Here is a 26,386-nt window from a genome sequence, read left to right on the forward strand (position 1 = left end):
TCTTTACTAAAAATACAAAAATTAGCTGGACATGGTGGCATACACCTGTGGTCCCAGCTACTCAGTAGGCTGAGGCAGGAGAATCACTGGAACCTGGGGCGGGTAGGCTGCAGTGAGCCAAGATGGTGCCACTACACTCCAGCCTGGGTGACAGAGCGAAACTCTTTCTCAAAAACAAACAAACAAATAAAAACCCTGAAACTTGTCTTTCAGCAGAGGGATTTTAGTGAGTTAGTATCAAGGGGTCATCACTTCCTTTTCTTCTTGGATAGCTGACACAAGACAGGAAGACTAAGGGCTCTTTCTGATATCTGAAGATCCCTTTCAGGAAACCCATTCTGTTGTGTTTCTTAAGGTGTGATAAAGCTTGTCCAGCCTCCACACCGTATAAAGTTCTCCTTTATACACCCATGTATCAGCAGAGCTGCCCTGTAGGTAGGATTCTTACTCCCACGTGGCCAGTGAGTAGCAAGCAAGGCCCCAAGTAAGGTCTTTGGGTGCTGTCTGTTCTTTCATGAGAGTCACTTTGATATGAGAAAGGGGTTGGGGAAAGATGCCTGAGTCTGGGCGTGGGCTGGGAGGGAAGCACATTTAGGGTGCTGAAACCACATCTTATTTCGTGTGCCATTTTGCTCAGGGCCAGCCCGAAGTGAGAATGGCTTTTCTCGGTCAATTCCTAGTTTTGCCACCATCATCCTTACACCCGAATCCTAGTAAGTCTGTTCTCCACTGAACTGAGCTGAGTGCAGCTGACAGCAGGCACGGCGGTGCCCCATTTGCCACCCCAGGGAGGCCGAGCAGCGGAGAGTGTGTGGCCACGGCCCCTCCACTCTCCCAGCAAACCCACGGGGGCCTCGGTGCGGACAGAGACCCGGTGTGGGGAGGCCGCTGCCCCTGCACGCTGGGCCACGGGGGTTTGGGCGGGGAGGAGCTTGTACTGGGTGGGCGGGGAGGAGCCCGGACGGCGGGAGCGGCTGCGGCGCGCGGGCGCCCTCGGAGCCGCGTGCTGGGGGTCGTAGGGGCCCACCGCGCTCAGCCAGACGTTCAGACGCTCGGACAAGCATGGTCTATAACCCAGGAAAGGGGAGCAGGGCCACTCCCGCGGGCGGCCCCAGCGATGAACCGGACGCCCCCACCCTGCCGGGAAAAAAGCAGTGGCGGTCAGGCCGCGCTGTCTCTTTAAGATCGTGTTCCTACTAACACTGACGGTGAGTAACCTGGCCCTGGGTCCCGGGAGACATCCCGAGGTAGGATGGGCCCTTGGCCTCCTACGGATAGGCGGGTGAGAGTACAAATCTCTGGGCGTGGAATTTGGGGAAGTTATGAATGGGGGGAGGGTCGGGTTCCGATTTGAGCCAAAGCCCCCAGGTACCTTGTACATTTTAACAGGGCTCCTAGAGAGGGCGGGGAGACGAAGCAAGGCCAAGTTCCAAAGGGAGGATAGGCCCAGCTGGCTTCAGCGTCCACACGGCATAGTCCTTCATGAATGTTGGTAAGCGCGGTAGCTTGTGAATTAGGGTGAGTGGCAGAAGCTCGGGCTTCACGGGTGGGTGGGGAGGCAGTGGAACTGACCACTGCCGGCTGTCAGGTAGGCCTTGGGCACCTGGTTCTGCAGACAGTTTTCTGAACTAAGAAGTGAAGCTAGCCTGCCCACACACGGGGTATCCACTAGCCCCTTAGGAGCAGAGAGGGCACCGTAGCAAGCAGCTGGCGGCACTGTGCCTCTCTTGCGCTCCCTGGGCAGAGAGGGAGAGGCTGAGTGATGAGGCTCACTTCATACTGGGTGAGCAGAATGAAGACTGTGAAGTCACAGAGGAAGTGGAATGCTACAACTGGCTGCCGGGGCAGAGGAAAGGTGTCACCCAGGCAGGTTCAGGGCTTTCTGGCTATAAAAGGGAGCCTCTGGGATCAGCAGGTCATATCTGGTGCCCATGGTTGACTGAGGAGTCGGGTGAGGCCACCCTACCACAAGGGTCCCCCTCCCCATCCTACACAGGAATGAAAACAGTCCCATGTACACTTTCTGGAAGCCTAAATACCACCCACACCATGTGGAAGGAAAGCAGGAGAGAGACTGAGTGGCACATCCTTTCGCCCTCTTTTCTCTCGAACCTCCTCCCAGGCCGACCACCCTTGCTGTGTCCAAGCCAAGCTCTGTGGGCTTTCTGTTCCTCCTGAGTAGCTGATTTTCAGAATTTGGGGTACCAGGGCTCTGGGGAATGTGAGCTAGAGAGCAGATAAGTCTGGAAGATGACCACTGACTCCTACTCTCCTACTTCTCCAGATGCAGAGGCCTCCATGGCTGTGATAAGCCTGCTGTTCTTGGCAGTGATGTATGTTGTTCACCACCCTCTGATGGTCAGTGATCGGATGGACCTGGACACATTAGCCAGGAGTCGGCAGCTGGAGAAGCGAATGAGTGAGGAGATGCGCCTGCTAGAGATGGAGTTTGAAGAGAGAAAGCGAGCCGCTGAGCAGAGGCAGAAGGCAGAGAACTTCTGGACAGGAGACACATCCAGTGACCAGTTAGTGCTGGGGAAGAAAGACATGGGGTGGCCGTTCCAGGCCGATGGCCAGGAAGGGCCTCTGGGCTGGATGCTGGGAAACCTGTGGAACACTGGCCTCTTTTGCCTTTTTCTCGTCTTTGAGCTCCTGCGACAGAACATGCAGCATGAACCGGCCTTTGATTCCAGCAGTGAGGAGGAGGAGGAGGAAGTCCGTGTTGTCCCTGTCACCTCTTACAACTGGCTTACTGACTTCCCCTCCCAGGAGGCCCTGGACTCCTTTTACAAACACTATGTCCAAAATGCCATCCGTGACCTGCCCTGCACCTGTGAGTTTGTGGAGAGTTTTGTGGATGATCTCATTGAGGCCTGTCGGGTGCTCAGCCGCCAAGAGGCTCACCCACAATTGGAAGACTGCCTGGGCATCGGGGCTGCCTTTGAGAAATGGGGAACCCTCCATGAGACCCAGAAATTTGATATCCTGGTGCCCATTGTCCCCCCACAGGGCACCATGTTTGTCCTGGAGATGAGGGACCCAGCCCTGGGCCGCCGCTGTGGCTGTGTGCTGGTGGAGTCAGAATGTGTGTGCAAGCGTGAGAAACTCCTAGGGGACGTGCTGTGCCTGGTGCACCACCACAGGGACCCCTCGGCAGTCTTGGGGAAGTGTAGTAGCTCCATCAAGGCAGCTCTCTGCACCGGCTTCCACCTAGACGTGTGCAAGACTGTGCAGTGGTTCCGGAACATGATGGGCAATGCCTGGGCCCTTGTGGCCCACAAGTATGACTTTAAACTCAGTCTCCCACCGTCTACCACCTCCTGCAAGCTCCGGCTGGACTATCGCTCAGGCCGCTTTCTCTCAATCCACTTGGTCCTGGGGGTGCAACGAGAAGACACCTTGGTCTACCTGGTGAGTCAGGCTCCTGACCAGGAGCAGCTCACCAGTGTGGACTGGCCTGAGTCCTTTGTGGCCTGTGAGCACCTGTTCCTGAAGCTGGTGGGGCGCTTTGCCCCCGAGAACACCTGTCACCTCAAGTGCCTCCAGATCATTTTAAGTCTCCGGCAGCATCAGAGCTTACCCCATGGAGCATCCCGCCCCATCCTCACTTCTTACCATTTTAAAACAGCTCTCATGCACCTCTTGCTACGGCTGCCCCTCACGGACTGGGCCCACAACATGCTCTCTCAGCGGCTCCAGGACATTCTCTGGTTCTTGGGCCGTGGCCTCCAGCAAAGGTCCCTCCATCATTTCCTCATTGGTAACAATTTTCTGCCCCTGACCATCCCAATCCCTAAGACATTTAGGAATGCTGAGCCGGTCAATCTCTTCCAACACCTGGTGCTCAACCCCAAGGCACATTCACAGGCAGTGGAAGAGTTCCAAAACCTTCTGACCCAGGTGAAAACTCTGCCTCATGCCCCACTGGCTGCAGCACCTTGATGTAAAGACCATTAAAAAAAAAACAGAGGAAGGTATTTCTAATTCCTTGGGCTACAAAAGTGTTTACTTTTCAGATATATCAGTGGTATATGTGACCTTCACCTTGCCAGTGGGGGCTATGATGAGACACCTTAAGGAGCGTGTGAGGTGGTCATGAGGATGGGCATAATGACCCTGCAGGGCCTAGTCAAGGATGGGTCATCTGAGGTTTTCTTCTGCTAACTTTCATCATGACCCAAAGAAGGTCCAGGGAAACGGATGTTATGGGAGGATCTTGCTGCTAAGGAGGTGAGATCCAGAGGGTCACTGTGAAGTTGTGTTTTTGTATCAACACTCGAAGTGAGAGAACCAGAGAATACCTTCATTCCAGCTTATTCCTTTTTGTGATTGACTTCCAGTATGTTCCTTGTGAATTGGTTTCCTTGTTGAACTGTTAGCTTAATTCTCATCCGAGCTGGTGGCACTCCATTTTATCCCAAATACTGTGATGGGCAACTTCTCATAATTTACGATCTAATTTTTCAAACCTTCACTATTTTGAAAATATAACCAAGGCCGGTTGCGGTGGCTCACGCCTGTTAATCCCAGCACTTTGGGGGGCCGAGGTGGGTGTATCGCCTGAGTTCAGGAGTTCAAGACCACCCCGGGCAACATGGTGAAACCCCATCTCTGCTAAAATACACAAAATTAGCCGGGCATGGTGGCGCGCACCTGTAGTCCCAGCTACTTGGGAGGCTGAGGCACGAGAATCACTTAAGCCCCAGTGGTGGAGGTTGCAGTGAGCCGAGATCGCACCACTACACTTCAGCTTGGACTACAGAGTGAGAATCTGTCTCAAAAAAAAAAAAATTATATATATATATATATATATATATATATATATATATATATATATCTCCAAGATGTTTACATTCCATTTTCTTAACTTAGCCCTATTTTCATATGACAATAGAGTTGTTTTTATGCATCTGAAAAAACTACCTAATTTATTCGCATTGATTCACAAATATTAAGTCAATAGTAACCTGTCTCATAATTGAGATAATGTATTTACCATAATAATGAAATGGTTAACATCTGATGACCTTTTTAAGGTGCCTGGAGGCAACATTATAAAGGCCTTCACAAGGACAATCTTTTTGGGGGCTCTGAGATGAATAATTACTTTGTTGCTTGTGGGGAGCCACTTGTTGAGTGTAAAGAAGGTTTAGCTGCCATGTTTAGCTGTGCTTTTTCTGTCTGGCCATGCCTCCTTTGTATTTTTTTTTTTTTTTTTCAAAAATGACAAAGGGATTACTTGAACTGTGTTTGTGGTTTTGAAAGAGAGGTCATCACAATCCAGGCTCACTGCCAGGTTTGTATAGGAAAGGATTGGGAAACAGTCCAACTCTAAAATTGTGATTCTAGAGATATAATTGGTGTATTTTTCCCTTTTTTCAAAACCATGGGATGCTGAGGAGGAGTGTTAAGAAATGCAACTATAGTTATGGGTGTGATTGTTTTGGAAACGCCAATGCTGTTCTATCTGCACTGCCAAGAAGATCTGCTGGGGAGGGTAACCTGTCCCCACTGAACTTGACCTCAGCAGGGATCAGATGCTGGCCCTTATAGGCTTCAGTCATAGAATACACACCCTCTCCTCCAGCAAAAATAAATTAAAAATGTCCCAAAGCCAGGTGCAGTGGCTCACACCTGTAATCCCAGCACTCTGGGAGGCTGAGGTGGGAAGATCACTTGAGCCCAGGAGTTCAAGACCAGCCTGGGCAACATGTCGCAATCCCGTCTCTACAAAAAATTAGCTGGGCATGGTGGCATATACCTGTGATCCCTGCTACTCTGGAGGTTGAGGCGGAAAGACTGCTTGAGCCCAGGAGGTCAGGGCTGTAGTGAGCTATGATAGTGTCACTGTGCTCCAGCGACCCTGGGCAAAAAAGTGAGACCGCGTCTCAAAAAAAAAAAAAAAAAAAAAAAAAAAAAAGGTTCCCAGAAGCTGATGCCAGTCAATCATTGGGGCTCCCAGTGCACAATAGCTACTGTGTTCCTGTGTTGCCTGCATCTGTCAGGTACCGCTTTCAATGCAAGATGCAATCATGGTTGCTTCCCTGCTGATGGGATTTTGGTGTTTTAGCAACATTCACATACTTTTTGTTTAGAAAATTATTTGCTGATGTTTTAAGTTAAAGTCAATAAAGGAGGCTATTTTCTGTATACATTGGAATCTATGCAGTAACACACTCAGCAGATCAGCATTCTCACATGCCTGTTCCCAAGAAGTTCATGTTACCCTGATAGCTCCATTCGGTATATCCTGGTATTTCTCAATGTACTTGGAACTAGTCTGCCTTGTGGTTTCCAAGTGGCATGGCCAGTAGCCAGAAAAGAATAAGCAACATCTAGGTGATTAATTTTCATGGTGCCCAAACCAAAATATCAGCCAAATTAGAAGATCTTAGTGGTTGCAAACAATGTGCATAAACTCTAAAAGTCTTCTCAGGTAGAAAGAAGGTGGTATGATTTCTAGGAGTGCATGGTTGTTTCTAGTCTAATAGATAAAAAAGAAAATAAAGGCCAGGCGTGTTGGCTCATGCCTGTAATCCCAGCACTTTGGGAGGCCGAGGTGGGCGGATCACTTGAGGTCAAGAGTTTGAAATCACCTGGCCAACATGGCGGAACTGCGTCTCTACTAAAAATTTAAAGAAATTTGCCGGGTGTGGTGGCACACGCCTGTCATCCCAGCTACTCAGGAGGCTGAGGCAGGAGAATCACTTGAACCCGGGAGGCAGAGGTTGCAGTGAGCTGAGATCGCGCCACTGCACTCCAGCCTGGGTGACAGAGCGAGACTCTGTCGCAAAAAAAAAAAAAGAAAAAGAAAGAAAAAGAAAACAGAAAGTTATGAGAGTGGGCAGATGATTACAAAGGGAGCAGTCAGCAAAACTTGGGTGGAGCAGAGGGTGCAAGAAAGAGTATTAAAAAAAAGAAAAAACACACAAACAAGTAGTAATGGAAAGAACAGACCTGTAGTGCTCTGGGAATACTTTTACAATTAAAGAGGAAACCTCTCCAGATAGGAAACTAAGCTTTATTCTAAAACAAAACCTGGCTAGCCCCCAGGATACAACAGCAGTTATAGTAATGGGAATGCTTAATGTTCACTGAGTTTGCCAGTGTTCAGGACACTGTTCTGATGGCTTTACATCTGGTAACTCATTTAATCTTCATACTATAACCCCATGAAGTGAGCCCTTCATCCCCTCCATTTTACATGTGAGGAAACTGAGGCGCAGAAAGGGTATGCAACTTCCCCAAGGTCATGTAGCTAGTGGCAGAGCCTGGAAGAAACTATCTGCCATTGCAAACTTTCAGCTTGGTCTTGGAAATAAAACAAGATGTAAGGGTTAAAGGGCTTTGAGAAGCAAAAAGCACTATATTTTAAAAGATGGTATGTTACTGTTTAGAAATTCTAGAAGACAGAAATTGTTGGTTCTTAGCCCAGTCTTAAGGAGGTCAGGAATTTCATATCACATGCAAACATTAAAGGCATTTGCGCCAGGTGCAGTGGCTCACGCCTGTAATCTCAACGCTTTGGGAGGCTGAGGTGGGCAGATCACCTGAGGTTGGAAGTTCGAGACTAGCCTGACCAACATGGAGAAGCCTTGTCTCTACTAAAAATACAAAATTAGCTGGGCATGATGGTGCATGCCTGTAATCCCAGCTACTTGGGGGGGCTGAGGCAGGAGAATCACTTGAACCCAGGAGGCAGAGGCTGTGGTGAGCCGAGATGGCGCCATTACACTCCAACCTGGGCAACAAGAGTAAAATTCCGTCTCAAAAAAAAAAAAAAAAAGAAAAAAAAGGCATTTGCTTGGAGGCCAAAACGAACGCAAAGCCATTTCAACTATATGCCTACTAAGTCCCAGTGACTTGATGGTTTCTATCACAGACTACATCATTATATAAGCCAGCTGCAGGCTGGAAAGTCAGGGCAAATTTGAAGCCAAAAGATTGCTTGTTCAGGTAGCCAATGGATAACACTATTGTTTCTCACCTAAACTAAGGCAGTTTCCCATTTATTTGGGGGAAGTAGAATCTCCATGAAGAGTAAAATGGGGTGGGGAAGGAAGACGACACCAGCTCTGCTTTTCTGGCAGCCTAGGATTAGTGGAGGAACCTTAACTACTTTACTTTTGCACAAACAGAGGTATTGAGCTTTGTACACCACTGAGATCAGTGATAAATCATTCACTCTTCTTTATTTATTTATTATTATTATTTTTTTGAGATGGAGTCTTGCTCTGTTGCCCAGGCTGGAGTGCAGTAGCACAATCTCGGCTCACTGCAAGCTCCGCCTCCCAGGTTCATGCCATTCTCCTGCCTCAGCCTCCCGAGTAGCTGGGACTACAAGCACCCGCCACCATGCCAGGCAAATTTTTTTTTTTTTTTTGTATTTTTAGTAGAGACAGGGTTTCACTGTGTTAGCCAGGATGGTCTCGATCTCCTGACCTTGTGATCTGCCCACCTCGGCCTCCCGAAGTGCTGGGATTACAGGCTTGAGCCACCGCGCCCGGCCAAATCATTCACTCTTTTGGCACCCTTCATAGTCCTAAAAACAAAACAAAGATGGCATTCAGAGCAGGAGGTGAAAGACCTGCCCGCATAAGGCAGCCCTGGCCCAGAGAGACACTGGGCATGGAGCTGGCTTTGCCTTCCTGCACGTGAAGCTGGAAGCAGCTCAGGTGGCTCCATTATTCCCACAGAACAGCCTCAAGGCTCACCTAGTGGGTCACTTAGTAGCTTTCCTCCCCCAGGGCTTCCAAGCTGTTCTTCAGAGGCTCCTGATTCAGTGTATCACCTAACCCTTGCTACTCTTATGTACACATGGAATCCAGAGGATCACACTTGTCCCAGTGTCCTCCCTCAGATGCATTCAGCAGAGAGAACAAGTGAGGGAGATGACAGGGACCCCAGCATATACTGACCAAGTCCAGTGCGGGGATAGTGCCTTCCCCATTTTATAGACGGGGAAGAAAATGGGGCCCAGAGAGGTTAACATGCCCAACCCAGGATTTAAAATTGTCTTCCAGATGTACTCATTGAATACATATTTAAGTACTTGCTATGTCCAGGGCCAGCACCAGGCCATGGGAAAACCATAGTGAACAGATATGGCTTCATCCTCATGGAGCTGACGGTCTATGTAGGAGACAGACATGAAATAGTCACCCTAGTGCATGGAAAATTGCAGCTGTGACAAGTTCTCCTGAAGCCTCCAGTATGGAGAGTTGTGTGTATCAGGGAAGGTCTCCTTGAGGAACCTGAGGGGAGTAGAAACCTAACTGGAGCTACGGGGGTGAAGATGGGGATGAAGAGGATCCTAGCTAGAGGAGTGTGTGTGTGCAGAGGCCTGGGGGTAGGAGCAGGTGTGATGAGAGGAATCTGAAAAAAGGCCAGGGCAGCTGGAGGGCAGGGAGCAAGGGGAGCAAGGTCCCTGAGGAGGCTGGAGAGGCTGCAGGGGTGGGGAGGCTGGCAGGAAGACCCTTCCAGGACCTTGTAGGACGCTTAGAGGTTCCCAGGGTGGTGGAACCCCTGAAGTGTTATACTTCCGGGAGGAAGTGGTGGGGGACAAGTGGGAGTGACAGCTCAGATTTGGACTCCGCATACACTACTCAGGGCCTGAGGGGGGGCCAGAGCAGGCCAGTGAGAAGGTAATGTGGATGGAAGGAGAAAGGCAGGATTGGCAATTTTTAGGAGGTGAAAATAGCTTGCTTGATGATGGATTGTGTGGGGAGAGAAAGGGAGGGAATCCCCCAGGATGACTCCTGGGTGCTGATTTGGGTTCTTGGGTGGCTGATGGTATCATTTGCTGAGATAAACAGTGTCAACCTGTTTTCTCTAACCCACACAGCCTTACGCTGAAGATTTGAAGGTGGTCACTAGAAGAACAAGTTTATACGAACAACAGATAGGCTTAAAAAGTGGTTTTCAGCCAGGCGCAGTGGCTCATGCCTATAATCCTAACACTTTGAGAGGCCAAGGCGGGTGGATCACCTGAGGTCAGGAGTTCGAGACCAGCCTGACCAACATGGTGAAACCCCATCTCTACTAAAAATACAAAAATTAGCTGGGTGTGGTGGTGGGCGCCTGTAATCCCAGCTATTCAGGAGGCTGAGGCAGGAGAATCGCTTGAACTTGGGAGGTGGAGGTTGCAGTGAGCTGAGATCGTGCCATTGCACTCCAGCCTGGGCAACAAAGCAAGACTCTGTCTCAAAAAAAAAAAAAAAAAAAGTGGTTTTCAACAAAGGGTGGCACTTTTTGATTGCCAAAATGAGCGACAGCACTGATGGCATTTAGTGGGCAAATGATGTTACGGGGGCTTAAGAGCCCACAAAGAGGGCAAACATCCTATCATGCCAAGGATTGTTTCACCCTGAATGCCAACAGTGCCCTTGAAGAGAAACACTGTAAAAGATGCCAGATATGAGAGTTACAAGAAATTCTAGGATGTGCTGGGGATATTCCAGGGAATCACCCTGGCCTTTACTCCCATAATTCAATCCTTAGGGTTAGATGAAACTGAGGGGACAGATGGCATTTTATGCTTATTTCGCTTTTTCGACCTTTATTTATTTTTTGAAGGGTGGGGGGTGTTCACAGGAAGCTATTCACAAGAATCTGAATAAAACGATGGCCTTCATCTTACACTATATTAAATGTACATTTTGTACTATATTTAATGTATACATAGCATTTCTGCATCAGTTCTTCCCCACCTGGACCGCTCCTCATTCCCACGTAGGCTCCCGCTCCCCTCCGTCCCTCTTCCCGGAGGTTTTCAGCGTTTTGCTGCCCACACAGCACAGATCTCTAAGGGAAATAAACCTCGTTTTCTCGATCATCTGCCTCCCCATTATAAAGTAAATTCCACGGGCTGAGCGCGGTGGCTCACGCCTGTAATCCCAGCACTTCGGGAGGCCGAGGTGGGCGGATCACCTGAGGTCAGGAGTTCGAGACCAGCCTGGCCAACATGGTGAAACCCCGTCTCTACTAAAAACACAAAAATTGGCCAGGCGTGGTGGCAGGCGCCTGTAATCCCAGCTACTCGGGAGGCTGAGGCAGGAGAATCGCTTTAACCCAGGAGGCGGAGGTTGCAGTGAGCCAAGATCGCGCCACTGCACTCCAGTCTGGGGGACAAGAGCTAGACTTCGTCCCAAAAAAAAAAAAAAAAGAAAGTAAATTCCACGAAAGACGGGCCTTGCTCACCCTGCTCGACGCTGGGTTCCCAAGCCCAGTCCTGCACCTAGTCCTCGAAGGAGGGGGTTTTCATACTATTTCAGGGGGTCCACCGACCCCAAGAAGCCCAATCAGACGGGGTCCTCAACCCAAAACTCACTCTGACGCCGCCCGCGGAGGCCCGAGGTGGTCTGCGCAGGCGCGCTGCTGGCCCGGCCCGCCGGCGACGTCACGCGGCCGTTACGGCGCTCAGGCGTCTCGACGCGCGCGATTTAAAACCAGCTCAGGAGACGCCAAGGAAAGATGGGACCTCCCGGCCCAGGTGAGCCGGGCGGTCGGGAGGCGCGGCGGGAAGGGCCCCTAGCGAAGCAGTACTTCGGGCGGGCAGGGCTGGCGGGCTGGCCTGGGCGGGGAGAGAGGATATGCTCAGCTCGGGTCTTGGCCCTGCGGCTGACAGCAGAGGCCGGTGCGGGGGGAGGGGAGGGCCGGCGCGGGGCGGGCGGACCTTGTGCGCTCAGCCAATCAGAAAGCGGCTTCGGCCGGAGTCGGAGAGCGCGCGGGCCCTGCCTCACACTCCTCAGTTCCCGGGCGGGCGGTGGGGCGGCCTCCTCCTTGGGCTCCTAAAGCGTGCTCGGTGTCTCTCCATTAAAATGGTGGTTTTCCTGGAATAGACGTTATTTTCAGGGCTTTGGAAGCGATGTGGTTACCGTTGTATGCTTAGCATGCATGCATTTATTTTTGCATCTATTCAAAAGTACTGAGCTCTCCCGTTGGGCGAACAAAATTGATAATATCTCTATACTGTTGGAGTTGGGGAGACAGACAGTAAACAAAAGAAATAATTACACATGAGGCTGAGTGCTGTGATTGAGTATAGCAGAGTAGGGGTGGCTCCGCCAGGGGTTCAGGGAAGATCTTTAGGCAGATACTAGGGAACGTGTTTCAGGCAGAAGGAGCAAGTACAAAAATGAGGCAGGGAAGAGCCTGGCCTGGCCTAGGACCTGACCAGAACATTGTGACCAAGCTTAGTGAGGCCTGACACGTAGGCAGGGTCTGGAGGCCTTGGGTAAGAGATTTGGAAATTGAGTTACATTTTGGACATGGTATGTGTGACTTACGGGAGAGACTCAGGTGAAGGGATCTATAATCACTTAGGTGAGAATTTGGCTCTCAGGGGAGTTATATGGACCACTCAGGGAAGTGACCCATGGATTGAGAAATAAATTTGGATACCATTATCATATAGACCATTAGACCATAAAACCATGGGAACAGGTGAGAACACTAGGAAGGCCCTGCACATCTAGGACCAACGTTTAGAAGCTGGATAGAGAAGGATGAGCTGGAAAAACTCAAAAGACAGTGGTATAGGAAGAAGCCAAGAGTGTTTCAACAAGGAAGGGACTGTCAGCTGTTTCAAATGCTGCTGGATTCCAAGAGAAAGGCCAGAAAATGACCATAGGGTTTAGGCAACATGGAAGTTATAGATGATCACGAAAAGATAGTTCTCATGAAGTTGGAATAGGAACCAGACCAGAGTGGGTTGAAAAATGAGTGGGAAATGAGGAAGTAGACATAGGAAGTGTCTTTGAGCTCAGTAACCATCGGTTGAATGAATGGATGCATAATATCAAAGGCAAGGAGAGAAACCACGGAAAGAAGATTTGGAGAATTAAAGCATGCCTCTAATTCCAAGTTTAGTTTCTCTCTTAGACAAGGTTCTCCTTAAGTGCTTCCTATTTCTGTTAAGGTATCCTCTCCAAAGGTCCAGGTTCCTTCCTTAGCCTGTAGCCTACTGTGCTCACATCCAAATACTGTCCTCATAAGTCCTCTTGATTCAGTTTCTAAAAATGTCTCTTGCCTCCTCCCTTCCTATTTTTACTTTGTTGTTTTTTGTTTTTTGTTTTTTTTGAGACGGAGTCTCGCTCTATCGCCCAGGCTGGAGTGCAGTGGTGCAATCTCGGCCCACTGCAAGCTCCGCCTCCTGGGTTCACGCTATTCTCCTGCCTCAGCCTCCCGAGTAGCTGGGACTACAGGCTCCTGCCACCACGCCCAGCTAATTTTTTGTATTTTAGTAGGAACGGGGTTTCACCGTGTTAGTCAGGGTGGTCTCGATCTCCTGACCTTGTGATCTGCCCGCCTCAGCCTCCCAAAGTGCTGGGATTACAGGCATGAGCCACCGCGCCCGGCCTATTATTTTTTAGAGACAGGGTCTTGCTGTGTTGCCCAGGCTGGAGTGCGTGGCTATTGACAGGTGCTGTCCTAGCTCACGGCAGCCTTGCTGAGCGCAAGCAGGCTCAGCTTCCTGAGTAGCTGGAACCACAGATGCCTGGCAAAGTACCCCACTTCTCAATACCACCTATATCTTTCTAATTCACTCTCTGGTTCCCTGACTCCAACAACCCTTTTTTTTTTTCTGAGACAGAGTCTTGCTCTGTCCCCCAGGCTGGAGTGCAGTGGCTTGATCTTGGCTCACTGCAACCTCTGCCTCCCAGGCTCAAGCAATTCTCCTGCCTCAGCCTACCGAGTAGCTGGGATTACAGACATGCGCCACTACACCTTGCTAATTTTTGTATTTTTAGTAGAGACGGGATTTTGCCTTGTTGGCCAGGCTGGTCTCGAACTCCTGACCTCAAGTGATCCTCCCACCTTGGCCTCCAAAGTGCTAGGATTACAGGCATGAGCCCAGCCTTGTTTTTACTTCCTATTTTATTGAAAAAAAAAAAAAAAAAAAAAAGCAAACAAAAAGGAACATCCCCAAGTCTGCCATTGCACCTGCTCCCTGCCTGCATCTGTGCCAGTGCCTCTGTCTTTTCTCCTGTTACTGAGGATGGGCTTTCTGTGCTCTCTACAAAGGCAACCTCTTTGCCTGCTTGAGTACATTGTTCAGCAAATTTTACCTTTTATTTTGGATGGTCACTGTGATAGGCTGAATAACACTTGCCCTAAAGGTGTCCAGAACCTGTGAATATGTTATCTTACGTGGTGAAAGAGACTTTGCTCATGTGATTAAGTTAAGGCTGTTGAGAAGACTATCATGGATCATCTGGGTGGGCCCAGTTTAATCACAGTGGTCCTTGTAAGAGGAAGGTCGTCGGGGTAGAGTGAGAGCAGATGTGATGACAGAACAAGAGGTTAGAGTGATGGGGGGACAGTGAGCCAAGGAATGTAGGCAGCTCTGAAGCTGCAAAAGGCGAGGAACAGATCCTCCTCTCAAAGCCTCCAGAATGAATGTAACCCTCCACAGCTGCAAGAGAACACATAAACGTGTGGGGGTTTTTTTGTTTTTGTTTTTGTTTTTTGAGACGGAGTCTCACTTTGTCACCCAGGCTGTAGTGCAGTGGCGCGATCTCGACTCACAGCAAGCTCCACCTCTTGGGTTCATGCCATTCTTCTGTCTCAGCCTCCCAAGTAGCTGGGACTACAGGCACCCGCCACTGCGCCCGGCTCATTTTTTTGTATTTTTAGTAGAGGTGGGGTTTCACCGTGTTGGCCAGGATGGTCTGGATCTCCTGACCTCATGATCTGCTCGCCTCGGCCTCCCAAAGTGCTGGGATTACAGGTGTGAACCACCGCGCCCAGCCACATGTGTGTTTAAACCGCTAGGTTTGTGGTCATTTGTGACAGCAGCCATAGAAAACTAATACAGTCTCTTTGCTTCATTCTTTCTACCATGCTGAGGTTTTTGTTTGTTTGTTTTGTTTTTTTGTCTTAAAAATTCCTCACTTCCCTTTCAACTCTCACCCTCTCATTTCTCTCCACCCTTTTACAGTAGAAGTCTTTGGGCAGGGCGTGGTGGCTCACGCCTGTAATTCCAGCACTCTGGGAATCCAAGACAGGCAGATCACGAGGTCAGGAGTTCGAGACCAGCCTGGCTAACACTGTGAAACCCCGTCTCTACTAAAAATACAAAAAAGTAGCTGGGCGTGGTGGCGGGCGCCTGTAGTCCCAGCTACTCAGGAGGCTGAGGCAGGAGAATTGCTTGAACCTGGGAGGCGGAGTTGCAATGAGCTGAGATCCCGTCACTGCACTCCAGCCTGGGGGACAAAGCAAGACTCTGTCTCAAAAAAAAAAAAAAAAAAAGAGAAGTCCTTGAACACCTTGTCATCGTTTGCTGTCTCCAGTTTCTCTTCTCCCATCTTCACTTGAACCACTCCAGTTCAGCTTTCTCCCTTACTACTCTAGGAAAACTGTTTTTGTCAAGATCACTAGTAACCCTAGGTTCTAAATCCAATGATCAGTTCTCAGTCCTCATCTACATAGTTTATCACATCCTCCTCCCCTAAAAATACTTTCTTCACCTGGCTTTTAGAATGCCACATTCTCCTGATTTTCTCCCACCTCACTAGTTGCACATTTCCCAGCTCTTTTGCTGGTTTCTCCTTCTTTATTTTTACTTATTTATTTATTTTTTGTGACAGAGTCTCACTCTGTTGCCCCGGCTAGAGTGTAGTGGCGCCATCTCGGCTCACTACAGCCTCCGTCTCCCGGGTTCAAGCGATTTTCCTGCCTCAGCCTCCCAAGTAGCTGAGATTACAGGCGCCCACCACCACGTTCAGCTAATTTTTGTATTTTTAGTAGAGACAGGGTTTCACCATGTTGACCGGGCTGGTCTCGAACTCCTGACCTCATGTGATCTGCCTGCCTCAGCCTCCCAAAGTGCTTTCCTGCTCTTTAAACCTTTAAAGTGTTCCTCTACTCAGTTATTTGGTGATCTCATCCAGTATTATGGCTCTGAATACCCTCTACATGCTGATGACTTCCCAGTGTGTGTATCTCATCTGGAACTTTCCCTAAATTCTGGGATTAGATACCCACCTATCTAACCCAGTAGGATGACTAATACTAATAAGCATCTTTTTTTTTTTTTTTTTTTTTTTTGAGACGGAGTTTCACTCTTGTTGCCTGGGTTGGAGTGCAATGGCACAGTCTTGGCTCAGTGCAACCTCTGTCTCCCGGGTTCAAGCGATTATCTTGCCTCAGCCTCCTGAGTAGCTGGGATTACAGGCGCCCGCCCCCACGTCCAGCTAACTTTTGTATTTTTAGTGGAGACGGGGTTTCACCATATTGGCCAGCTGGTCTCTAACTCCTGACCTCAGGTGATCCACCCACCTCGGCCTCCCAAAGTGTTGGGATTACAGGCATGAGCCACCGTGCCCGGTAGCCCAGGCTGTTTCTTAACTCCTGGCCTCAAGGGATCCTCCCACCTCAGCCACCCAAAGGGTAGGATTACAGGGATGAGCTACCATGTCCGGCCTTTTTTTTTTTTTTTTTTGGTTGTTATCTTTTAAGTTAAGAGACTAAGCTAGTTTTCTTGAAAACTGTCCTGCATTCTAGAGTGTTTCCTTGTGATATCATTTAACTTGTTCCTTGACCCCTTGTATTTCTTATAAACCAGAAGTTAAAGATCTAAAGTTCTTTGGTTAAATTTAGGTTAAACATGTTTGGTGGAAATATTTCCTGGGTGATGCTATGAATTTCACATTGTGTCACATGAAGAGATGAGTAACTTTCAGATTGATTTTTAGTGAGGCTACATTTGACTGGTTAATGTGGTGACTGGTAGAGTTTTTATTGTAAAAGACATTTTTCCTTTTGTAGTTAGCAAATAATCTGGATGATTCTTTGGAACATTCTATTTGTTTTACATGTTTATGTTGTTTTTCCTCTGTCTGTTTGCCAAGATATGGAGGAGCTGGAATTAGAGCCCAGCCTGTCTAACTCTATAGCCCATACCTCACCCTTGTCTCAGCATCTGTCTCTTCCTTGTCTTACCTGGCATGATGGGTTATATATGTCTGTTGTCCAGTTTGTGAGCTTATCAGAGGCAGCAATATTATATCATCCATTTTTATATCCATGCAGTACTTAAATTCACATAGCTGCAGAGTGGATATTTGTCCCAGATTAACAAAGAAGCATCAGAAACCTATGGCCTCCCCCCTGCACCTCCAAGAAACCCAAACTCTAGAGGTTCTAGCCATTAAGTATTAGAGTTGGAGAAGATCTCAGTGGACAGTGTGTGGTGAACCTCCACCCCTGTGACAGGCTCAAGACTTCTTTGGATATAGGAAATGTTCTCTTGAAGGTTTCTTGAGCAAGAATTTTGTTCCAGCACTGCCAGCCACAATGAATAACTCTTCTTCAGAGACGCGAGGACACCCCCACAGTGCCTCCTCTCCTTCAGAGCGTGTGTTCCCGATGCCCCTGCCCAGGAAGGCGCCTCTCAATATTCCTGGCACCCCAGTCCTCGAAGACTTTCCTCAGAATGACGATGAGAAGGAGCGGCTGCAGCGGAGGCGCTCGAGGGTCTTTGATCTGCAGTTCAGCACTGACTCACCTCGCTTATTGGCCTCCCCCTCCAGCAGGTGAGGTGCTCCTGGGCTGTTTCTCCTTGAGGCAGCCGCCTTGATATGGGCTGCGTAGGTCCAGGCATCTCCACAAAACTTCATGGGTCTAGGTTTTGAAAATTTAAACTATCATGGATTCTTGCCAGAGTTGTTTGTTTTTGTTTTCCATTTAGGAGTATTGACATTTCAGCTACTATCCCCAAGTTTACAAACACGCAGATTACGGAACATTACTCCACCTGTATCAAACTGTCCACTGAAAATGTGAGTATTTGCTGGTTTATTATTGAAGACGTAATCCCTTGATCACAGGGGAAATCCAGCTATCTTGTTTCTGTAGATAATGCACAATCAATGATGATAATTCTCTGGTGAGTCATCTTAGTGCTGGTGGTTTTACTGTTTACTCTGGACCCGTGGTGCACCTCCTGAGAGGCTGCCAGCTATCTGCTGTGTATCTAGAAAGGCAGCATGGCGCATGAGTTAATAGTAGAGTTCTGGAGCTAGCCTGAGTTGGAGGCTACATGCTTCTAAGCTGTGTGTGAGCCACCCAACCATTTTGCTTCCGTGTCCTCTGGAGAATGGGGGTAGTGCCTGCCTCATGAAGTTGTTTGGAGGGTGAGTCCCTTTGTGTGCAGTGCTTAGAGCAGGGCCTGCACACACTGAGCATTCAGGAATTTTGTGCCGTCATTCCCTAGCCTTGAACATGAGGACATGCCTGTGAGGATTTGGCTCTTGACAAGTGTTTTTGGGAAGAGAGATCAGTGACAATATGTGGGTATTCCTATGTAAAGACTTAGCTTCCTCTGTTAAAAGCAGCATTATTTACATGAGCCTAGGCTATAAATAACAATCCTTTCTGCAATTTTCTGTTTTCAGAAAATCACTACCAAGAATGCTTTTGGTTTGCACTTGATTGATTTTATGTCAGAGATTCTTAAACAGAAAGACACCGAACCAACCAACTTTAAAGTAAGAAGGATGTCCACTTTCTCTTGCATCTGAATTAAATGATGATGATTTCTACTACTTGGCATAACACAGTTGAATGCTGCAAATACATGAGAGACTTCTCATTTAGATGTTATGTTAGTTAATTTACTTTCTTTTCCTAAACTGATGAAATACAGAGAGAATATATATTCTGTTTATTCCCTATCAGTCATAGAGGGATCTTTGTCATTGCTTCCTTGGGGCAAGTAAATATTTTGTGAAGCTTGCTGTGTTTTACCTGTTCAGAAGTTGTTTTTTGTGTATCTTTGTGAGTGCAGCTCTGATTGTTTGACTAGGTGGCTGCGGGTACTCTGGATGCCAGCACCAAGATCTATGCTGTGCGCGTGGATGCCGTCCATGCCGATGTATACAGAGTCCTTGGGGGGCTGGGCAAAGATGCACCGTCTTTGGAAGAAGTAGAAGGCCATGTTGCTGGTAGGTGGGTAGGGATCTGGATTTAAGTGGCTCTTTTTAGGGCATACCAGGTAGTTACTTGAGTAATATACTAGAAGAAGGTCACAAGAAATAAGTGATCTCATTTTATTGAAGACAGGGCATTTTTAGAACCATATATGGTCTTACGTGAGAAGATACTCAAACACTAAAATTATATTTCCTTGAAAAAGAGAAGGGCCTTATAAAAGCGTTTATATTTTATTTAGGCCAGGTTGTGTAAACATCACCAACTAAGGAACTTCTGATCTGGGAGTCTTTGGAAATGGACTTGCGTGAGAAGCCAAATCTAATAGTTTGGTTTCTCCATAAGTTGCAGATTAAATATGCCTGATGTTTTGAGAGAACTGCGTGTTTTTTGTTTGGTTGGGGTTGGAGTTTTGTTTTTTTTTTTTTTGAAACGAGGCTCACTTTGTCACCCAGGCTGGTATGCAGTGGTGTGATCTGGGCTCACGGCAGCCTCTGGCTCCCAAGTTCAAGTGATCCTCCTGCCTCACCACCCCAAGTAGCTGGGACTACAGGTGTGCATCTCCATGTCTGGCTAATTTTTGTACTGTTTTGTAGAGACGGGGTTTTGTCATGTTGGCCAGGCTGGTCTTGAACTCCTGAGCTCAAGTGATCCGTCTGCCTCAGCCTCCCAAAGCGCTAGGATTACAGGCATGAGCCACCACACCTGGCCTCACATGTTTAAATTACGACAGGTTTTGAAGAACTTGAGTTAGTAAGTTCATCACATGCTTCAAAGCAGCCCTTGCAGTACGCAATTGTATTTCTCCTTTTAGATGGAAGTGCTACTGAAATGGGAACAACCAAAAAGGCTGTAAAGCCAAAGAAGAAGCACTTACACAGAACTATTGAGCAGAACATAAACAACCTCAATGTCTCCGAAGCAGATCGGAAGTGTGAGGTGAGGAACTGTATGCGCAGTGTGGTTTCTGACTAATTCAGAACCTTAGGGGCTGAGACTTGGCAGGGCTAAGGCTGCCTTGCTGGTATGTGCCTGTTTAAGCCTCAAGGGAGTAAAATATTCAACTGATATCTCTGCATTATCATCTTTTAGCTTGACAGTAAAGACTAAAAGTAAGTCCCTCAGTGTTTCAGAATGATTCAAAAGGAAGAGACTGCAAATTGCTGAGAAATCTAATTGATAAAAAATTAATTTTATTTCCTAGTAAATGTAGCAGTGGTTATGTTAGCTAACATTTAATGTACACATAGTGAGCACCATGTGCTTCCTTAAGCCTGTAACCTGTATTAACTCATTTAATCCTCACAACATTCTTGTATCATTTTAGGAAGAGGTAACTGAGGCACAATGACTTGCCTGAAACGACACATCTAGTAAGTGAGCTAGAAGTTGAAGCTAAGTGGTCTAACTCCAGAATCCTAGCTTTAAATCATCTATCTAGCAAATCCTAAGGAATCGGCTTAAACAAATGGTACTGGAGGCCTCATCTATAATTAGCACAGTTAATTTAAAGCAAACAGGTGTTACTACAATTTTATTTTTTAATTCTGCCATTAAAAACATTGTTTCAGTGAACATTCTAATACATATTATCTTTGCACTCGTATGGGAGAATATCTGTAAGAAAATTCTGAGACATGGATTTTAAGTTGCCCTCAAAAAAAGGTACTAATTTACTCTCCCACTAGCAGTAGACTAGATTACTTTTCTCTCTTACCTCCACAACATTCATAAATGGTAATTAAGGTCACAAAACTAGAATTGGTCACCAAGGAAATGAATGTATATGGGAAAAAGACTGGGAGTTCCTTTTCCCCAATCTTAGGAGTTCAGAGAGCTGAAAAAACATCCAGTAGGTAGGAGGAAAACCAGAAGAGCGTGGTATCCAAATGAGAAAATATTTCAGGGAGTGGGGAATGATCAACCATGCCAAATGTGGCAACCTGAGGCCACTAATGAGCTTGGAGTGGGGGCCCCTCTGAAACTCAAGCTCAGACCTCCAGGGAAGGGCTTGGCTGGTGCTAGTGTCCCTGAGTTTGAGGGAGGGGATTGTGTGCCCAGGACCCAGACCCTGGAACGGGGGCATGCTGGCTGGTGCTGGTGTCTCAATAAGGCTGGTTCTGTGAGTGTGAAAATCTGCCAGTGGGGTTCAGCTGCTGCTACAGGTGGGCTCTGCTGCAGCCGGGGTGGAACACTGCTGGGTGACGCTCTCCTAACATGCAACCTGCAGAAAGGAGCAGTGCCTTCTCTCCCTTGGAGCCTGTAGTCTCCCTCTAGTGCCCCTACTTGGTAAACCCTAACAGGGAGCTGCCGGCAAAGCTGAATGTCCCAGACCCTGCATCACAGCCAAGGAGAGAGGGTAGGCTTAGAGCTGAGAGGCAGTAGCTTAGTAACTGGGACATGGTGAAGTGTCATGAGGATTACTGACAAAAGACTCTGGGGTGGGGAGAGAGATATATATAGAGAGAGTAAATGAAAACAAATATGCAAAATGCTACCCATTGGGTAATCTGAGTAGAAGCTTTACAGAGATTCGTATTACTGTTTCAACATTCTTGTGGATCTGAAATTTTTTTTATGATAAATGGGAGGAAAGGACTGAAAACACTTGAATATAGGTAGTTGTTTTGAAGAGTTTTGCTATAATTTGGAGCAGAGTACTGGGATAGCAAATGGAGGGAAAAGTAAGGCCAAGAGTTTTGATTTTGTTTTTGAATGGGAGAAATGACAGCATATTTTGTTGATGACAGCAGTCTAGTTTGGAGAAGGGATTATTGATGATGCAGCAGAAAGGAGAATTGCCAGGCTGATGTCCTTGCGCAGGTGAGAGGTAGGGAATGGACAGCACAGGTTGGGCTCGGCTGACGGGTGTTGTTTGGGTGCACTCATGGGGGAGCCTTCTGGATACTGTCTTAAAACAGGAAGCCAGGTCATCAGCTTACAGTGAGGATAGGGAAGGAAGGCACTGGGGGCGTGAGGAGGGGAAAGGGTAGGAAAGAGTCCTCTAGGAGGTGGGCGAGTACATGAACTAGGGAGATATGGTGTGACTGTTAGACAACTTAGGGTCTACTTGAGGGTGGTGGCAGATGGATATAAAGTGAGGTCAGTCAGCATTATTTTGTGTCTCTGTCCAGCCGTGAATAGCTGTGTGGGTACAATCATGGAGTAGGCAGAAAGTTGGGTTTAATATGGGATCCTGTTGAGCTGAGTGAATGGACACAGCTGGAAAGGGACACTGGAGGAGGTGAGTGCATGTGTAAAGGTGTGGTTGCATTCACTGCTTAGGGAATTTTACCTCGGAAGACAGGGGAATGAGGGCAGTGGAAAGTAATATAATCAGTAGATTGTAGGCCTGGTGGGGTCAAAGACTTCGTGGTGTTGGGGACAAGAAGGGGTGAGCTGGAAATGTAGGAGGTGGTTGCCAGAGAGGGGCCCTAGAATTGAGGATATAGAGAGGTTGCAGTCATGGTTAATGAGTCAACTCAGAGCAGGCAAGGGAGCAAATGGCGGAGGCGGGGTAGGGGTCTTACTAGGCTGTCTTGGTGTCTTACTTGGCTGTCTTGGAGTCCTGGGTTTCTTAGGATGGAGACCATTGAAGGAGAGGATATCAACCAAGAGACAGTGTACTGGATGGATCAACATATGGATATTGAAATCAATAAGAGCTACACCAGGAATAAATTTGGAGACTAGTAATGAGCCATAAACTAATACTAAGATCTTCTGAGAAGAAGGACAGGTTGTGACCTGGGGATTGGAAGATGACTGCAACACAGATGGGCAGACAGTGGCAAAAGCTGATGTTGTACTCAGAGCTGGGGCATTAGAAATTGGGAGGGGGGATAGTTGGATGCTGCAATCACCTGGCCCACCTGTAGGCCACTGGTTTGACGGCTGTGAAGAGAAAGCAGCCACTGCAGAGGCCCGCAGGGGAAGCCTATCCTCAGGCTGGCACCATGTCTCAATTGGAGCAGTGCCCCTCAGCCTGTTTTTTTTTTTTTTTTATCACTTTTGCCCCTTCAGACCCATTTAGACATTTTGTGCCTACTCCTTCCCCTTAAAATGAAATACTAAGGAATAAGATTTTGTCAGATAGGGTAGAGATTTGGATAGGCAAACATTATTGTAATATCTAAGATTTTTCCCACCTAGCCTCTAGGAAACAGTTTTCACCCCTTGAGAGTGAAATGAGAACACCATTGAGAATACATAAATTAGAACAAGTAGGTGGAGATAATCCTCAGGAACTAAGTGGGCGATAGAGAGAATTTTGCTGATGACTGAGTCTAGAGGGCCCTGAGGAAATACCAGTTTTTGAGGAGGAGTGGGAGATGGGGGCTGTGGTGGGGTGGGAGGTGGCATCAGAGTTCTATAGATCTTAGAGTCCAAGAAATGTAGAATTGTGGGTGTCTTGGGTCTTTTTGTGTAATTAATAAATAAGCCAGATAAAGGGCAACAGTGAGATGAATGCCAGTGTTCTTACAGCAGATGGTAGTGGTAAGACTGAGTGTGCAAGGGGCTAGGGAGGTGGGGCCTTGCCATGCCCACTCTGAGTGGTGAGGTGAGCAGGGCATTGCTGTGCACGGGCAGGGAGGGGCCAGAGGAAGGAGAGTCACTGAGAATGAGGCCTAAGAGGGAGGGGAGAGGCGAGAGCAGCTGGCTCTTGTGGGGAGAGGGAGTTGTATTTTTTCCTTATGTGTGTGTCAGCATTAACCGTGGGTGATGTGTGTAGCATATCACCATGTTTAAAGACCTTGACGTAGGCCGGGTGCGGTGCTTAGCTGTTGACCTGGGAAGAGTTGTGAATCTCACTGTCATATACTATAAAAAATGGGGAACGCTGGCCCCAACCACATCTCGGTTTTATATTAGTGAATCCATTTATGCCAAGGTCTCTCTCTTTTTTTTTTTTTTTTTGAGATGGAGTCTTGCTCCGTCGCCCAGGCTGGAGTGCAGTGGCGCTATCTCAGCTCACTGCAAGCTCCACCTCCCGGGTTCACGCCATTCTCCTGCCTCAGCCTCCAGAGTAGCTGGGACTACAGGCACCCGCCACCATGCCCGGCTAATTTTTTGTATTTTTAGGAGAGACGGGGTTTCACCGTGTTAGCCAGGATGGTCTTGATCTTCTGACCTTGTGATCCGCCGCCCGCCTCGGCCTCCCAAAGTGCTGGGATTACAGGTGTGAGTCACCGCACCTGGCCTATGTCAAGGTCTTTAAACATGGTGATATGCTACACACATCTGAAGTGGTATTATTTATTAGTCATAGGGATCCAGAAAGCCCTTTCTACGTTCCCTTCCCTCCCCCAATTCTCCTTGTTTTTTCCCCTTCCCAGATAATCTGGAATTTATCTTACTGTCATTATTATTATTATTTTTTTTTGAGACAGGGTCTCGCTCTGTGGCCCAGGCTGGAGTGCAGTGGCACGATGTTGGCTCACCGCAACCTCTGTCTCCCCGGTTCAAACGATTCTCGTGCCTCAGCCTCCCATGTAGCTGGGACGCACCACCACGCCCAGCTAAATTTTTTTGTATTTTTAGTAGAGATGGGGTTTCACCATGGTGACCAGGCTAGTCTCGAACTCCTGATCTCAAGTGATCTACCCACTGGGGCTCCCAAAGTGCTGGGATTACAGACGCGAGCCACCGCTCCTGGCCCTTACTGTCATTCTTGCTTTTGATTCTATAGTGAAATGTTCAAATCAATCGGATTATTAAGTACAGGATGTTTGGAAATTCTGTTTTGTAGTCATCTTCTTTCTTACCAGGTAATCTCAATTCTGGGAGCCTGAGGAAAACGGACTATTTCCCAGGCCTGCATTAGCTTTTCCCATGATTATAAAGAGAAAAGGAGAGAGCAGCAAGTAGGGCTGATTTCGCTAAGCCTGATATTGACAGGCTGTGGTATGTTTATGCTAAGTGAAATGAATACTGTCATGAAGAAATGCCAAATACTCCAATCCTGGAAAGCTTTTTTTGCTCTGTAAGTTGCTGTAAACTTGTAATCATCAAGAGTATGGAAGATAAAAAAGAGGGATGGATTGTCACAAACAGAATTTAAAGCTTCAACTGTTTATTAAACTCTCATTTTCTTTTCTTTTTTTTTTTTAAGATGGAGTCTCACTCTGTTGCCCAGGCTGGATTGCAATGGTTCAGTCTTGGCTCACTGCAACCTCCACCTCCTGGGTTCAAGCAATTCTCCTGCTTCAGCCACCCAAGTAGCTGGGATTACAGACGTGCACCACCATGCCTGGCTAATTTTTTTATTTTTAGTAGAGATGGGATTTTGCCATGTTGGCCATGCTGGTCTCAAACTCCTGACCTCAAGTGATCTGCCTGCCTCGGCCTCCCAGTACACTTGGGATTACAGGTGTAAACTCTCATTTTCTTGGAGATCAGAAAGCAAATGTGTGGGTGTGTCTAGACCAGTTGAGAGCACTTCTTTATATATGAGCCGATCTCTTTTGGACACAGCTCTTTGGTATTTGCAGAACATTTGCTGTCATAGAGGATTCAAACATGATTATGCTTCAGTTCTTTATACCAGGAGAATACAGGTAGATGAATGCAAGGAAGGTCAAGGCACATGCTATAGGAAACCAGAGTTGGTAGGGCTCAGAGTTTATGGAAGAAGCAAGACTTGAACTGGGCCATGAAGGAAGGCTAGGTGTCTTGTCAGGTAGGCATTGCCAGGGAGGTGATTCTAAGCAGAGGTGTAAAAGCAAAAGCCATAGCACAGGAAGGTTCTGATTAGGAAGCTGGAGAGTATACGAGTTTGGCTAGCGCCAAGGATTTGCTTTTAGAAATCACCTAAAGAGATCTTGAACTTTATCATTCAGTCTATTGTAAGGCCTTTTATTGTGGTCCTTCCTTACTGTGGACCCTTGTTTCAGAAGGTTTCATCTACTCAAACTACACAGTCAGCCATAATTCATTGTCCCATTGAATTGCTTGGGGATATAAATCCCTCTGTTGTCACACATGATATAATTCTAGACACAAGTGAGGAACATTATCATAGTGCTTTCAGCTTTAATGTGGGTCAGTGTACAATTTCCATGTTGGCTCTGAAGTGCTGAGTATAGTTCCGTTAACTACCTACACAAGACTTTTAGGGGTGCAGGGCTCCAGGTGGGAAACCATTACTCTGGATAGCATTTGAGAATGGAATAGGAGTAACCTATTTTTAGGTATTTTTAGGATGGGGAAAAAAAATAGGTATTTTTAGGATGGGAATTGGGAGAGGCCAGAGATAAGGGTCATATTGCTGGCTCTGGGGATGGAAAGATGCACTGGGAGGAAACCGACTTGGACGTGTGGCTGCCTGAGGGCTAAAGGGATGGGAGAATGTGGAGATGACGAATGTGCTGCTCTGGGACAAAGAATGGTGAGATGGGTTTATGGTACGGCAGGAGCTGAACCTCAGTTCTGATGAGCTTGGACTCCGAGCTAA

At 47.6% G+C, this 26,386-nt stretch overlaps 2 protein-coding genes across 14 annotated transcripts in view, besides 6 other annotated features; both read left to right on the forward strand.

The window, feature by feature from the left end:
• Positions 875-1,124: a silencer, noted in NCBI's record as "silent region_11764". NCBI's record gives its function as "represses an Ori minimal core promoter by ATAC-STARR-seq in GM12878 lymphoblastoid cells {active_cell/tissue: GM12878}" and the evidence as "EXISTENCE:reporter gene assay evidence [ECO:0000049][PMID:35858748]".
• ITPRIPL1 (ITPRIP like 1) lies at positions 960-6,150 on the forward strand. Of its 6 annotated transcripts, NM_001008949.3 has the most exons (3): positions 960-1,208; positions 1,390-1,492; positions 2,285-3,996. In NM_001008949.3, exons 2-3 carry the CDS (start codon positions 1,483-1,485, stop codon positions 3,940-3,942), a joined length of 1,668 nt encoding a protein of 555 aa, NP_001008949.1. In that variant the 5' UTR covers positions 960-1,208; positions 1,390-1,482; the 3' UTR covers positions 3,943-3,996. The 6 variants fall into 6 exon arrangements, with proteins under 6 accessions (NP_001008949.1, XP_016858916.1, NP_001156995.1 ...); XM_017003427.2 differs by having other exon boundaries at positions 960-1,492; NM_001163523.2 differs by lacking the exon at positions 1,390-1,492.
• Positions 1,147-1,647: an enhancer, noted in NCBI's record as "H3K4me1 hESC enhancer chr2:96991242-96991742 (GRCh37/hg19 assembly coordinates)". NCBI's record gives its function as "activates a minimal SCP1, AML or CMV promoter by ChIP-STARR-seq in naive H9 embryonic stem cells {active_cell/tissue: H9 hESC(naive)}" and the evidence as "EXISTENCE:reporter gene assay evidence [ECO:0000049][PMID:30033119]".
• Positions 10,882-11,723: an enhancer, noted in NCBI's record as "H3K27ac hESC enhancer chr2:97000977-97001818 (GRCh37/hg19 assembly coordinates)". NCBI's record gives its function as "activates a minimal SCP1, AML or CMV promoter by ChIP-STARR-seq in naive and primed H9 embryonic stem cells {active_cell/tissue: H9 hESC(naive and primed)}" and the evidence as "EXISTENCE:reporter gene assay evidence [ECO:0000049][PMID:30033119]".
• Positions 10,882-11,803: a biological region, named in NCBI's record as "H3K27ac hESC enhancer GRCh37_chr2:97000977-97001818".
• The window catches only part of NCAPH (non-SMC condensin I complex subunit H), a 41,326-nt gene continuing 26,348 nt past the window's right edge, over positions 11,409-26,386 (forward strand). For 3 of the 8 annotated variants that reach the window (XM_005263908.5, NM_015341.5, XM_006712388.5), the window contains exons 1-6: positions 11,409-11,491; positions 17,285-17,537; positions 17,693-17,783; positions 18,399-18,491; positions 18,809-18,947; positions 19,748-19,872. In XM_005263908.5, coding sequence (XP_005263965.1) covers positions 11,473-11,491; positions 17,285-17,537; positions 17,693-17,783; positions 18,399-18,491; positions 18,809-18,947; positions 19,748-19,872 — 720 coding nt within the window. In that variant the 5' untranslated portion in view covers positions 11,409-11,472. The remainder of the gene's footprint in view (positions 11,492-17,284; positions 17,538-17,692; positions 17,784-18,398; positions 18,492-18,808; positions 18,948-19,747; positions 19,873-26,386) is intronic. The other 5 variants (NM_001281710.2, XM_047443836.1, NM_001281711.2 and 2 more) reach the window with 3 other exon arrangements.
• Positions 11,484-11,803: a silencer, noted in NCBI's record as "silent region_11765". NCBI's record gives its function as "represses an Ori minimal core promoter by ATAC-STARR-seq in GM12878 lymphoblastoid cells {active_cell/tissue: GM12878}" and the evidence as "EXISTENCE:reporter gene assay evidence [ECO:0000049][PMID:35858748]".
• Positions 11,724-12,565: an enhancer, noted in NCBI's record as "H3K27ac hESC enhancer chr2:97001819-97002660 (GRCh37/hg19 assembly coordinates)". NCBI's record gives its function as "activates a minimal SCP1, AML or CMV promoter by ChIP-STARR-seq in naive H9 embryonic stem cells {active_cell/tissue: H9 hESC(naive)}" and the evidence as "EXISTENCE:reporter gene assay evidence [ECO:0000049][PMID:30033119]".

Source organism: Homo sapiens, chromosome 2 (genome assembly GCF_000001405.40).
Source record: "Homo sapiens chromosome 2, GRCh38.p14 Primary Assembly".
In the NCBI taxonomy this organism is placed as follows: Eukaryota; Metazoa; Chordata; class Mammalia; order Primates; family Hominidae; genus Homo; species Homo sapiens.

What these genes read in the sequence shown, in the direction of transcription:
- ITPRIPL1 (NM_178495.6), top strand. Translation starts at nt 2,251, where the DNA reads ATGACCACTGACTCCTACTCTCCTACTTCTCCAGATGCAGAGGCCTCC.